General features: G+C 42.1%; 1 protein-coding gene and 1 pseudogene across 1 annotated transcript in view, besides 1 other annotated feature; one reads left to right on the top strand and one right to left on the bottom strand.

The window, feature by feature from the left end:
- FGD6 (FYVE, RhoGEF and PH domain containing 6) overlaps nucleotides 1-14,890 on the top strand; it is a 140,719-nt gene that overhangs the window by 80,022 nt on the left and 45,807 nt on the right. Inside the window, exon 8 of the mRNA NM_018351.4 lies at nucleotides 2,620-2,707. Coding sequence (NP_060821.3) covers nucleotides 2,620-2,707 — 88 coding nt within the window. The remainder of the gene's footprint in view (nucleotides 1-2,619; nucleotides 2,708-14,890) is intronic.
- Nucleotides 4,346-4,546: a silencer, noted in NCBI's record as "peak1898 fragment used in MPRA reporter construct". NCBI's record gives its function as "represses an SCP1 promoter by STARR-seq MPRAs in K562 erythroleukemia cells {active_cell/tissue: K562}" and the evidence as "EXISTENCE:reporter gene assay evidence [ECO:0000049][PMID:32103011]".
- Nucleotides 11,023-11,708, bottom strand: RPL14P4 (ribosomal protein L14 pseudogene 4; annotated as a pseudogene).

The following is a 14,890-nucleotide window of genomic DNA, read 5'->3' as shown; positions in this document are numbered from 1 at the left end:
GAAAACAAAGCTTGCAAACAAAGAAAAAGTTAAAAAGTAATCCCTTCAAAATCAAAGATGGAATTGAACAATTTAAATGGTGAGAACTCAAGAATGTACATGACTTAATTTTGAAAATCTGTTATTGCACATGGGAATATTTTGACTTGGAAAGAATTTTTTTTTTGAGACAGAGTCTTGCTCTGTTGCCCAGGCTGGAGTACATTCGCACGTAGATTGGCTCACTGCAACCTCCGCCTCCCAGGTTCAAGTGATTCTCCTGCCTCAGCTTCCCGAGTAGTTGGGATTACAAGCACGTGCCACCACACCTGGCTAATTTTTTGTATTTTTAGTGGAGATGGGGTTTCACCACATTGGCCAGGCTGGTCTCGAATTCCTGACCTCAGGTGATCCACCCTGCTCGGCCTCCCAAAGTGCTGGGATTACAGGCGTGAGCCACTGTGCCTAGCTGGAAAGAATATTTTGATGGGACTTTTTAAACTGTGGTAAAATACATACAACACAAACTTAGCATTTTAACAGTTTTCAAGTTTATAGTTCAGTAATGTTAAGTACGTTGACATTCTTGTGCAACCAGATCCCCAGAACTCTTTTCAACTTGCAAAACTGAAGCTCTATAGGCATTAAACATTAACTCTATTCTCTCTTCCCTCCCAGCCCTTGGCAACCACCATTCTGCTTTCTGACTCAATGAACTTGATTAAGGAACATGTCTTAACTTTTAATTTAACTTCTTCTTTTATCCTAACAATTAACTTACAATGATGGATGGGAAATAGAATTTATATTTCCCTTTAGATAAATAAATAACATGGTTTTGGTGCCAAAGTTAAGAAAAAGTAATAACCTGTTCAGAGCATGTGTCAGCCAAAGCTTTGACTTTTAACTCAGAGCTGTGAGGGTGGAACCCTGATTTAATTAGAGATAAAATCACAAGTCCCCTCCATCAGTTTGGAGTAAAATTTGCGTACTGTATTTTAGTACTTCTCTGTTTTGAAGCTTAAAAGATCGGTGAATTCCAGTCACACAAAACTAGAAGTGAAAAGGGTTTTTTTTGTTTGTTTGTTTTTGTTTTTGTTTTGTTTTTTGAGATGGAGTCTAGCTCTGTCGCCCAGGCTGGAGTGCAGTGGTGTGATCTCGGCTCACTGCAACCTCTGCCTCCGAGGTTCACGTGATTTTCCTGCCTCAGCCTCCCGAGTAGCTGGGATTTCAGGCATGTGCCACCATGCCCAGCTGATTTTTGTATTTTTAGTAGAGACAGGGTTTCACTGTGTTGGCCAGGCTGGTCTCGAACTCCTGATCTCATGATCCACCCACCTTGGCCTCTCAAAGTGCTGGGATTACAAGAGTGAGCCACCTCACCCAACCAAAATGAAAAGTTTTTAAAATAGTATGGTATTGCTGATTTCTGATTTGTGCAATAGACAAATAATTAAATTTTAAAGTCATCTGTAATTTTTTCTTCTTTTCCTCTCCTCTGTTGTCTTTGTGCTATCAAAAAACAAAGTGCAATGTAATTGTGGCAACTGATGATTGACCCAGGTTTTGGTAAGAGTCCAGTGAGTTGTGTTACCTTGTTAGCAAAAGAAAACGGGGAGCCATAAGGCCAGGAGAATTAGTAATCTGGGTTAATGATGCTTGGATGAAAGATACTTTCTTAACATGCATTATCATTATAATTTCATAATCACTCTGTGTACCAGATAGTGGTGGTACATATTTAGAAAATGATAAAAGTCTGAGCAAATCTAACAAAACTTATCAACCAACTTGCGCTATGTTAGAAGCGTGACTCTTTTTTGTAGTTCTTAGGATGCAGGGACATTTTCACTTGGCCTTTTTGATGCCACCTCACAGTAAACTCTTAGGTTGGAGAATGAGGGTGAGGCTCAGGAATGGGCCGAGATAGATGTCTGTTGTACATACTAAGGAAGAGAGGTTTCAAGGGATAACCAAATGTCTTTGTAGTCAAGCCAAAATGTGGTTCCATAATCAAATGTTCCTATAAATGCTGTGATTTGGGGGCTATCTTTTTATAAGGCCATTCATCTGCAAAAGACTTTTACATTCTTCAGACTTCTTAAAGAAGGGATACTTAGCAAGGCCGCTTTTCAGGTTATCTTTACTTTCTACAGTTCTCCCTGCCACCACCATTATTTTGACTATATTGACCACAAGGCTCTGATTATCATTTGAATCCAATTCCTGGCAGTTGTATTTCCACTGCCTTATTTTAGGGGCCATGCATTTCCTTCTTGGTCCATTGGGATTTGTTTGTATTTATCAATACAAGTGGGAGCTGCTGAGTAGGGTGGGCTCTAACTAGCCTAGGACACAGACTGTGGCTACCACGCTCTTTGAGAGGGTTGTTAACAAGTTTTTCCTAGGAGCAAATGGTTTCAGGGACTGCCTACAGGAAAGGGTGGAGGTTGGTGGTCAGTCTGGCTGGGGTTCACTCTCAGTGTATCTAACAGCTGTACCTTAAAATAAAAGGGAGCCTCTCTACGAATCTCCTTCCAGAGTTGCTTGATGTTTAAAGTTTGGCTTCCTGAGCACTTGAATCTGGGTCCCTTGCTTCTTAGAAAACACTGTGTTAATTTAGATGCCTTCTCCTTTCAGATGAGCCCTCGCTGTGCTAATCTGGCCCTCAAGCACTACCTGCTCAAGCCGGTTCAGAGGATCCCCCAGTACAGGCTGTTGCTGACAGGTGGGCTTCTCCAGCATTTTGCCAACCACCCAGTTGGTTTATCCATCAGCCAACTCTTCTTGCCTTTATGAAACTCGGGTGCCTCTCTTTGTATATCACCCCCGTCACCACGTTGCCTAATACGTGGATTTGTAGATTGCTTATATACTTTACATATACGTTGCCTGAACTGAACGGCTTTCGGTTCTTTGATCATCCATCCATGTGTGCATTTTCACCTCAGGGCATTCATACATGTAGCTGCTTTTTAATTCAGAACATCTTTGACCATCCCAAGCCCATACCCGTGCATCATTTCACCTGGCTAATATTATTAATTCCAAGAAGGTACGTTCCCCAACTACTCGAGAGTGGAGTTTAGAGGGTCACTCCCACATATTTATATAGCATTATCATAGCCCTAGTTACTTGCCTCAGAAGGTTGTTATAAGGTTTGATTAATGAGCTAAATGTGGACAGTGCTTAGAATAGTACCGTAGCTGGGTGCAGTGGACACGCCTGTAGTCCCAGCTACTGGAGAGGCTGAGGCGGGAGGATCTTTGAGCCCAGGAGTTTGAGACTATCCTGGGAAACATAGACCCCTGTCTAAAAAAAACAGGAATAATGCTTTAATTATAACAAGTTCTACATAAGTATTAGCTTTTACTATTATTAGTAATAGTAGTATTCTTATCCTGATAGTTATTTCCTTATGATAATAGTCTATCTTCTACTAGACTGTAAGCTTCAAGATTATAGAGCTATGTCTGTTTAGTAAGGAAAAAAGAAGGAAAGAAAAAAGCAAAAACACTGTGTTTGAGTGAAGGAACTTGCTGTAATCAGGCCTTTATATTCACTGGCTCTTTAAATCCTCACCATAGCCTTGCAAATATCAGTTTTATCTTCACAGATGAGATAACAGGCTTATTGAAATTAAGTGGTTTGGCATCACAAAAAGGCTAGTGTAGTCTCAGTACCAAACATAGTTACCCAACACCTACTACTAGGGTCTCTGGAATATTTGCTGAACTGTATTGGATGTACAGTGACTTAATATGCATATATAATACGCATTAAAATTGTATCAAAATGGACAAGAACGTCAAAATGTGGCCACAACCGTAAAGTCAATGTGTTCTATAAGTAAATTTGGAGGTACTGGGTTTCTGTTACTCTCCTTAAGAAATGGTGTCCATGCTTTTCTTCTTAACTTCACTCTCTTAAGCCAAGAGCTATATTGGAGATAATAGGTGAATCCTGAAAAACCAGGATTTCCTCATTTCTCTTTAGGGAAAAGGCTTCAGCACTTCAAAGCTTGCCTAGTGACAGACTGCTCACGAGGAAGACCTACCTTTTAGCCCCAGGACAGGCTGGAGTGCAGTGGCGCCATCTTGGCTCACTGCAGCCTCCATCTCCCAGGTTCAAGCGATTCTCCTGCCTCAGCCTCCTGTGTAGCTGGGATTACAGGTGTGCACCACCATGCCCGGCTAATTTTTGTATTTTTAGTAGAGGCGGGGTTTCACCATGTTGGCCAGGTTGGTCTCAAACTCCTGACCTCAAGTGATCTGCCGACCTTGGCCTCCCAAAGTGCTGAGATTATAGGCGTGAGCCACCACAACTGGCCCTTAATTTAAATTTCTAAGGATGAATCAGGCACTAGGTTTCTGTCTGGAATGACATAAAGCCAACTGAATAATTTAAGGATATCCTGTCCCTCTGTACTTTCTTACTTCTGCTTTTGGCAGAGATTTAGAATACACAGGACAAAGGGAAGTACTGATACACATGTTGTGTTTTTGCTAGATAAACTCAGTGCTTCTCATAAACCAGCTATTGAATGGCATAGGCTCTTTCCATAGCTGTCAAATGAAGTACTGTTTTTAGTGGCAAAAGACAGCTGTAGTTTCAAATGGGAGGGGAATGGAACAAGAATCTGAAAATTTAGTGCAAAGATTAATTTTTACATATTATTTATTTATTTATTTGTTTATTTATTTATTTATTTATTTGAGACGGAATCTTGCTCAGTTGCCAGGCTGGAGTGCAGTGGTGCAATCTCAGCTCACTGCAAACTCCGCCTCCTGGATTCAAGAGATTCTCCTGCCTCAGCCTCCCGAGTAGCTGGGACTACAGGCGTATGCCACCACGCCCAGCTAATTTTTTGTATTTTTAGTAGAGACGGGGTTTCAACATGTTGGCCAGGATGGTCTTGATCTCTTGACCTTGTGATCCGCCTGCCTTGGCCTCCCAAAGTGCTGGGATTACAAGCATGAGCCACGGTGCCCGGCCATATTATTTATTTTATTTTACACACTACGACTGTTCTAAGTAGTAAAAAGTCTACATATGTTAAATTTAGGTTTCATGCTTAGTTTGTTTTTTATTGAGAAAGTGTGAAATGACAAAAGCAGGTTTTAAAAAACTCTCTTTACTAAAATAGATTTTAACTAGGTGTAGTGGCTTATGCCTATAACCCAGCAACTCAGGAGGCTGAGCCGGGAGGATTGCTTGAGCCCGGGAATTTGAGGCTACAGTGAGCCATGGTCATGCTACTGCACTTCAGCCCGGGTGACAGTGAGAATTCCGTCTCTTAAACAAAAGAAGAAGAATTTTGTTTTATAATACCAACATCATGTGAGCTTGGAGTTATTTTTAGTTTGAGCTACCTCTTACTTAATCTTAGATTGGGAAATCTTTTCTGTTATTTATTTATTTATTTATGAGATGAAATCTTGCCTGTTACCCAGGCTGTAGTGCAGTGGCACAATCTCAGCTCACTGCAACCTCCGCCTACCAGGTTCAAGTTATCCTCCCTCCTCAGCCTCCCAAGTAGCTGGGATTACAGGCACCTGCCACCATACCTGGCTAATTTTTGTATTTTTAGTAGGGATATGGTTTTGCTGTGTTGGCCAGCCTGGTCTCAAACTTCTGACCTCAGATGATCTGCCCACCTCGGCTTTTCCATTCGTTAATTGTTGCACAATACCTTATATATAATAGGCCCTCGATACTGGTGGATTTGGGAAGGGGGAAAAGTGATGAATGGCTTATTCAAGGCCACGAAATCAGGACTAAAATTAAAGAACGTAGTAGACTTTGTATTCTTCATCCTATGCCTTTTCTTCCATTGCTTAAAATTCTTTCCTTCCCCTAAGCCTGACCTGAAGTCAGGTCAGAAGTCCATTCTCTTTGTAGCCATCTCTGATTGCTTCAGTTCTCCAACCTTGAGTTCAGGGAGTGTGTCTTATATCTATAATTTAGTGGCCTCCAAAATATCTGGGTCAGTTTTGGATATGTTGAAGCTGTTCAGGAAGTAATTTAGATTGGTTTTAAGCTAGGTTTAAAACATCTCACCAGGTGTGGTGTCTCACGCCTGTAATCCCAACACTTTGGGAGGCTGAGGCGGGCAGATCACCTGAGGTCAGGAGTTCGAGACCAGCCTGACCAACATGGAGAAACCCCATCTCTACTAAAAATACAAAAATCAGCCAGGCATGGTGGCACATGCCCATAATCCCAGCTACTCAGGAGGCTGAGGCAGAATTGTTTGAACCCGAGAGGCAGAGGTTGTGGTGAGCTGAGATCGCACCATTGCACTCTAGCCTAGCCAGGAAGAGCAACCTCCCTCTCAAAAAAAAAAAAAAAAAAAAACTCTTTAGCCAAAATGTTTTTTGTCCAAAGAATGACATTGAGACAACATTTATATTAGAGATGATATCTTCTCCTAAAAAGAAAGGCACAAGCACAAAGGTGAAATGTCCTCCCAAGGCTACACAGCTTTAATTGAAGCACCTATGTTCCTATAATCCTAAGGACATTCCTATAACCTTGCAGGTCAATACTAAAGATTTGCTTTTTTATTTTTATTTTTGTATTTAAGTGATCCATCCTGTTAACTGATGCTTTTTATTTTTATTTAAAATTCTGATTTTCCAGTACTCATTTTTGTGATGTTCTGATTACTCTTTACTTTGCAAGACATATCTACTGTTGCTGTGAAAGTACTGCTGTCTAGGCACTGAGATTTTTTTTTTTAAATTTTATGTAAAAACAGGGTTTCCCCATGTTGCCCAGGCTGGTCTCGAACTCCTGGGGTCAAGTGATCCTCCTGCCTTGGCCTCCCAAAGTGCTGGCATCACAGGCCTGAGCCACTGGGCCCAGTCTGAGATTTTTTAAAGTTGGATTTTAAGTCTTAAATTTGCATCTTTCAAACATGTTAATTACTTTGGATAATAAAGCTCAAATGATTTAATCCTCCAACAACTTTGTGAGGTTAAGTACTTTTATTTCCATTTTGGAGTTTGGATTGATTCCAAATGCACAAAATATACAAGAGCAGGCAGGAGTGGTACTTCATTCATTTGAGGCAACTCCTGGCAACTTTGCTGTTTTAAGTTTCAGGCTGAGAAGGGGAAGGAGTCCTGCCTGATTCAATGTAAGTAGGTTTGTGCCTCCCACTGAGATATGCATAGATGATAAGATAAGATGGTTTCTTCTGGAATCCTTTTAGAAAAGATCAGCGGAAATCCCCAGATAGAGCAGTCTGTCACTGCTGTTCAAATAACCATGGTATTGTCTTCCAGTGTTTTCTTTTCTGGACTTACTTTGGGTTTCTATAGGGTATTCTATTTGGGCAATCTCTTCCTGCATGGTAGTAAAACACTTACACCTACATTCTTGTTAGTATTTTTTTAAGATCAGTTCAAACCGGATCTAAAAGAATGCATATAGTTGTATAACAAAATCAGTGATTTATATAATTTAAGCCTAAATATTTATAAATTTTGGCTGGGCATGATGGCTCACGCCTGTAATCCCAACACTTTGGGAAGCTGAGGTGGGCAGATTGCTTGAGCTCAGAAGTTCGAGACCAGCCTGGCCGACATGGTGAAACCCTGTCTCTACAAAAAAAAACAAAAATTAGCTGGGCGTGGTAGCATGCGCCTATAATCCCAGCTACTCAGGAGGCTAAGGCAGGAGAATCACTTGAACCTGGGAGGTGGACGTTGCAGTGAGCTGAGATCGTACCACTGCACTCCAGCCTGGGTGACAGAGCAAGACTCTGTCTCAGAAAAAACAAACAAACAAAACTTGTAAATTTTACTCAAGGCCAGTTTATCAGGCTGGATCCTGTTTGAAGTTGGGAAGAATGGGAAGAAAACAGACTTATCTGTTTTCTTAACTTGTAGTTATCAGAGCAGCCTTAACTTTTACTTATCTTCTTCTTTCTCATCTCTTCCGGGTAGAGACCATCTTTATTATCCTATCCCAGTGTCAGGCATAGATCCTGGAACACATCAGAGACTCAGTCAACTGACAGGTGTAATTAGGGAAAGGGAGAGTTGCTCTTTTTTATAAGATTGAGAATCCCCATGCGGTAGCAGCAATGAATGTTGGATGGATGGATGGATGGATGGATGGATGGATGGATGGATGGATGGATGGATGCATGCATGCATGCATGGATGCATGGATGCATAGATGCATGGACGGATGGATTAATAAATGTTTAAAAGCATTCTTTCAGTCATCCAGTCACAAAATTATGGAAAGGACTGAAATCCTTCCCTTTTCTCTTTCCTCCCTGTAGGATCTGCCAGCAAATTTTCCTCCACCTCTAGTTTCTGCTCCTTCTATTTCTCTGTTAGGCTCCAGGCCAGGCCCTTCTAAACTCACGCCATTTTATAGCAATATCTTGCTGGTGGTCATGCTACCTCTTATCACCCCTCCATGTAGCCTAGCACAGTTACTGCCTAATTTCTCTTCCAAGGACACACTTTCATTCTGTTTATTAGAAAAGTTGAAAACCCACTTATTCATAGTATAAAGACCAGTTTATAACCCAGAATTACCTGAACCTTCTTTTCCTTTAGTCTAGCTATAGTAGGTTTCTTGCTGTCTCCTGAAAGCTGTCCTTCAAAACCAGATTCTCTCCTCCATTAATTACTCCACCAACAAATATTTATATAAGTTGGCCCTGAGCTGGACACCCATATACACTGGCAGACAACCCAGTGGTGGCCCCTGCCCTGATGGGGCTTACAGTCTTCCTCTTTGAGGTCATGCCCAATCACTTAGGCCCCCACTGAGCCTTCTCCTTCTCAATTCCTAAAAATTGTATTGATCTTGCCCTTTGTCTTGTGACTAAATCTTTTAGTTGTTTAATTATACCATGGATCTGTGCCTTATCTTCTCCACTAGATTGTAAACCCCTTGAAGTCAGAGGCAGGGCTGGGCATGGTGGCTCGTGCCTGTAATCCCAGCACTGAGTTGGGAGGATCGCTTGAGCCCAGGAGTTTGAAACCTGCCTAGTCAACATAGTGAGACCCTGTCTCTACAAAAGAAAAATTTAAAAATTAGCTGGGTGTGGTGGCACACACCGGTCATCCCAGCTACTGAGGAAGCTGAGGCAGGATGATCACTTGAGCCCAAGAGTTCAAGGCTGCAATCAGCCATGATCGTGCCTGTTGTACTTCACCCTGGGCGACACAGCAGGACCCCCATCTCAAAAAAATAAAGTCAGAGGCAGACTTCAGTGCAAGTAGCAGTCACAAAAGATACTCACTCAGTTTGAGAAAGTATATTCTGGTGATGTGTTATTTTTGTAAGGGCCACTTTTTGTCTTTGAAGGGATCTTTTGTGCATACAAAAATATTTAAGGATTATGAAAAAACTAAGTCTTTTTTCATCTTCTACCATCCAGAGATGGCTATCACATATCCTTTTAGTTTTTTTCCATCTACCTGTGCTATATGTTGTATAATTTGTTTTTCAGAAAAAAGCCTTTCATTTGTGGAAGGTTATTACATTAGTGTTGAAACAAGTTAAATCAGTAAGGATCCTGATAGAGAAAATATAAGATACAGGAATTTTAAAATTCCTCTGATAAGTCTTTTCCACTTATGTAGTTAGAAAAAAATAGTCCTTTGATTAAATGTGGATCAGGTGGTTTCTTTGATCTTGTTCAAAATATTTATGTTATATAAAAGGCTACTTTAACAACATATTATATTACTTTTTCTCGTTGTCTTTGCCTTTAGGATGATATTAACTGCCTCTAGGTTTTAGAAATCTAGGATTTCTCATGTTGGTAGAAAATGAGATATTTAAAACATCTGTTATAGTGTTCTGAAGCTATAAATTTGAGCTATGTACAGGCTAACAAGCGCATATAAAAAAGATCACAATTAAATTAATAGATGACTTTTTTTCTTTTGAGATGGAGTCTAACTCTGTTGCCCAGGCTGGAGTGCAGTGGCACGATCTTGGCTCACTACAACCTCCACCTCCTGGGTTCAAGTGATTCTTCTGCCTCAACCGCCCGAGTAGCTGGGACTACAGGCACGTGCCACCATGCCCAGCTAATTTTTGTATTTTTAGTAGAGACGGGGTTTCACCATATTGGCCAGGCTGGTCTGGAACTCCTGACCTCGTGATCCACTTGCCTCGGCCTCCCTAACTGCTGGGATTACAGGCGTGAGCCACCACGCCCAGCCGCTAATAGATGACTCTTTTTTAAAAACCCTTACGGAAAACTTCTGTTTAGCAAGTATTTATTTTAAAACCTAGGGTTAATTGTATGTATCAAAGTTATTTTAACACTTTCTCTAAGGCAGAACTTGATTTAAAAAAAAAAAAAAGTAGGGCTGTCCTGCACTCCAGACAAGGAATCTAGTTATCTAGTTTCTGACGAGCCCAAAGGTGTCTGATATAAGGTAGTTCCAACCATGTTAAATTAGGAAGATAATGCAACTCAGAATTCAGAATTCATGTTGTAATTTGCTCAGTTCTTGTTCTGTTGCAATTCCTGTTTTTTTATTTTTTATTTTTTTGAGACCAAGTCTCACCCTGTCACCCCAGCTGGAGTGCAGTGGTATGATCTCAGCTCACTGCAACTTCCGACTCCTGGGTTCAAGCAATTCTCCCACCAAAGCCTCTCAAGTAGTTGGGGTTATGGGTGCCCACTACCACGTCTGGCTAATTTTTATTGTTCTGTTTTTTCTTTTTCTTTTTCTTTTTTTTTTTTTTTGAGACTGAGTCTCACTCTGTCGCCCAGGCTGGAGTGCAGTGGTGTGATCTCGGCTCACTACAACCTCCACCTCCCGGGTTCAAGCAGTTCTCTTGCCTCAGCCTCCTGAGTAGCTGGGATTACAGGCATGCACCACCATGCCCAGCTAATTTTTTTGTATTTTTAGTAGAGATAGGGTTTCACCATATTGGCCAGGCTGTTCTCAAACTCCTGACCTCAAGTGATCCACCTGCCTCAGCCTCCCACGGTACTGGGATTACAGGCGTGAGCCACCATGGCTGGCCTTTGTTTTTTGTTTGTTTTTTTTAAAGAACCTTTATTGTTTTTATAGTTGCCTCATATGCTTTCTTGCCAGATGCCTTTGGAGCAGGGGCTTTCTGGGCTGGAGCTTTTTGACCCTTCTGAGCTTTTGGAGGAGGTGCTGCCTTCTGGCCTGTGGCTTTCTGGGCAGGAACCTTCTGGGCTGGAGCCTTCTTGCCCACAGCGGTCATCTTTTTTGCTGGAAATTTAGCAGCAGCTGCAGCAGCACCCTTAGCAACAGGTGCTTTTTTGAGAGAAGCTTTCAGGAGAGCTTCCTTTTGAAGCTTGTTAACTTCATTCTTGATTATTCTGTCCCTCATTTTCTTTGCCTTCATAACTTTAAAATGATCAGAATCTGTCATCTTGGCTTTCCTTTCTCTGGCTTCAATCTTCCTGGCCCATTGTGTGGCTGCCCATTTTGTATTGATGTCTACCTTCTGCCAGGCTTGTGGGACATACTTCTGGTGGGCACTGTATGGAAACTTGAGGATGAAATCAGTGAGCTGCATGTACTTGAAAGGCATGGCCTGTCTCCTCACTTGAGCGCAAGGTCCACCAACCAAAGCCCTGTTCTGATCAATAACATCTATGATCACAATGAATTTTCCAGCATGAGGTCCAAAGGCGACGTAGGTTGCCCAGCCAACCTCCATGAAGTGCCTGAACACCATATTGGCGGCAGTCGGTGAGAAGGAATTCATTTTTAATTGTAGTTGTGAAAAAGGTATTTTGAGAGATAGTATTGAATAAATTGTATCCAGGTATCCACAAAATATAAATATTTATTTATTTATTGAGACATGGTCTTGCTCTGTTTCCCAGGTTAGAGTGTGGTGGCAGGATCATGGCTTACTGCAGCTTCAACCTTCCAGACTCAAGAGATCCTCCCACTTCAGCGTACCAAGTAGCTGTGGCTACAGGCATGCACCACCATACCCGGCTAATTTTTTCTATTTTTTTTGTAGAGATGGGATCTCACTATGTTGCCCAGGCTCATCTTGAATTCCTGGGTTCAGGGGATCCTTCCACCTCAGCCTCCTAAAGTGCTGGAATTATAGGCATGAGCCACTACACCTAGCCATCCATGAAATATTTTAATGCTATGGAAAGTGTTTAGGGTATATGAGGCAAGCACATTTCATCATCGCTTCTCGGCCTTTTGGCTAAGATCAAGGGTAGCACATTTCATCCACCTGTTTTATTAGCTTAGAGCTTTTAAATGTAATCTTAGTTTCTCTGTAGAACAGGAGTTCTTAAATTTTTTTGTGCCTAGATTCTTCTGGCAGTCTGATATAGCCTATGAGCCCTTCTCAGAATAATTTTTTTTAAGTGCTGAATAAACTACATAAGATTAAAGGGAAAACCAACTGGGCTGAAGTACAGTTATTAAAAAAAAATTTTTTTTTGCTATACCACAATCACAGTAATAAAATATTTTTTAATCATGACATAGTAATTAATGCATGCACTTCTTTAGTACTGCATTAAATAAGATCAGGTGGCAGATGTAATAAGTACCACGATTTTGAAGTAGGGGTGAGAGGAGTGCTAAGAGGGATAAGATGTCTGCCACAACTGTAATATGCTATAAAAATATCTGTGGTGATAAAGTCACAGATATCACTGATACTGTTGTGGTTTGCACCTACATTTATGATGGAAGAAAATCCTATTTTACACGTAGAGGTTAGTGAAAATAGGGTGGGTTTGTTTGTGTGCCTCTTTTTGCCCTCCAAGTTTGCAGATACCCCAAATTCTACCCATAGACATTGCTACAAAGCCATTCTTTTTCCAATTCTAAGTGCAGATTTGACCCAGATTTCCTGCAAGTAACCAATTGCCTCTGTTGCTGGGACTTGTCTTGGCAGAGCTATAGCAAGCAGAATCTGTTGCTAAAGTTGCTCTCACAGTTTTAGTCAGAATCATGGGCTCTCATCAGGACCTGTTTCAGTTGGAGAAAACACTGAACTTTAATCAAATTTGAACTGTGGTGCTTACATTTGCTTTATTCTTCGCTTGGCTGTTAGGTAATAAAATGTGCTTATGTCCCTAAACGTAAGTTTGCTTTGTTGATACTCAGGGTGGTACAGACCAAATATGGGTAACAGCTTCTTTTAAGTGTGGCTCGACTGTGCCAAGGCCATTTCCGTACACTTAAGATTCCTGCTTAATAAACTGGCAGCTACTAGAAAATGTATCCACTAAGAAAAGCAGTCTCAGGCCAGGTACGGTGGCTCACGCCTGTAATCCCAGCTCTTTGGGAGGCCGAGGCAGAAGGATCCATTGAGCTCAGGAGTTCAAGACCAGCCTGGGCAACATAGGGAGACCCCACCTCTTTAAAAAAAAAAAATTAGCCATGCATGGTGGCACACACCTGTAGTCTCAGGTACTCAGGAGGCTGAGACAGGAGTATCGCTTGAGTCCAGGAGGTCGAGGTTGGTGGAGGCTGCAGTGAGCTATAGCACTCCAGCCTGGGCAACAGAGGGAAACCCTGTCTCCAAAAAAGAAAAAAAAAAAGGAAGAAAGAAAAGCAGTCTCAGACAAGTCAAGTCAAAATAGTGTGTATATTGGCCGGGCGTGGTGGCTCACGCCTGTAATCCCAGCACTTTGGGAGGCCGAGGCGGGTGGATCACAAGGTCAGGAGATCGAGACCGTCCTGAATAACACGGTGAAACCCCATCTCTACTAAAAATACAAAAAAATTAGCTGGGTGTGGTGGTGGGCGCCTGTAGTCCCAGCTACTTGGGAGGCTGAGGCAGGAGAATGGCATGAACCCAGGAGGCGGAGCTTGCAGTAAGCAGAGATAGCGCCACTGTAGTCCAGCCTGGGGGATAGAGAGAGACCCCATCTCAAAAAAAAAAAAAATGTATATTGACTTTTGCAGTTTGCCTCTTCTTAGAACATTCTGGATATGCCTAGCTAGACTTTCCCACTAAAAAGGGACCTGGGGAGATACCATCTATCATGAGATCTGTGTCAAAATTTTGCCTTAGGATGAGCCTGGAGTTGGGTTTGGTTTGTGAGTTCTGTGGGGATGCCGCCTCAGGACCAGGGTTGTGTCAAAGTCTAGGATAGATCAGGGCTTCCTTACATAATTCTTGGACAAGGATGCCTGCAAGCAGTTCTCCAACCTGAGCCTCCCAAGTAGCTGGAATTACAGACATGAGCCATCATACCCAGCTAATTTTTGTATTTTTAATAGAGACAGGGTTTCACCATGTTGGCCAGGCTTGTCTCAAACTCCTGTCCTCAGGTGATCCTTTCCTTGCCATATTTTGTGCCCTGGTGAGGAGGGGGTGCATTGGCCCAGGAAAGGGACCTTTTCTAATTCACAGAAAGGCAACCTGAGAGCCCAGAAAGATCGCTTTTTTTTTTTTTGACAGAGTCTCACTCTGTCGCTCAGGCTGTGCAACCTCCACTTCCCAGGTTCAAGTGATTCTCCTACCTTAGCCTCCCAAGAAGCTGGGACTGGAGGCATGCACCACCATGCCCAGCTAATTTTTGTATTTTTATTAGGGACGAGGTTTCACCATGTTGGCCAGGCTGGTCTCGAATTCCTGACCTCATGTGATCTGCCCACCTTGGCCTCCCAAAGTGCTGGGATTACAGGCATGAGCCACTGTGCCCCTCCCGAGATGACACTTTCTAACTTAGGCAAGCACCACATCTATAAGAGGTGGTTCTAGGCCACATACAGATTCAAGGACTAGAATTGAATGAGTATTTGAGAAGCAGAAGAATTAGAGCCAAAGGCCAGAGCCTTTTTTTTTTTTTTTTTTTTTTTTGAGACTGAGTCTCGCTCTGTTGCCCAGGCTAGAGTGCAATGGTGCAATCTCAGCTCACTGCAACCTCTGCCTCCTGGATTCAAGCAGTTC

The sequence above is a fragment of the Homo sapiens genome, chromosome 12 (genome assembly GCF_000001405.40).
Source record: "Homo sapiens chromosome 12, GRCh38.p14 Primary Assembly".
Classification (NCBI taxonomy): domain Eukaryota; kingdom Metazoa; phylum Chordata; class Mammalia; order Primates; family Hominidae; genus Homo; species Homo sapiens.
The sequence above is the reverse complement of the archived record's forward strand: the minus strand, read 5'-3'. Positions and strand labels throughout refer to the sequence as shown.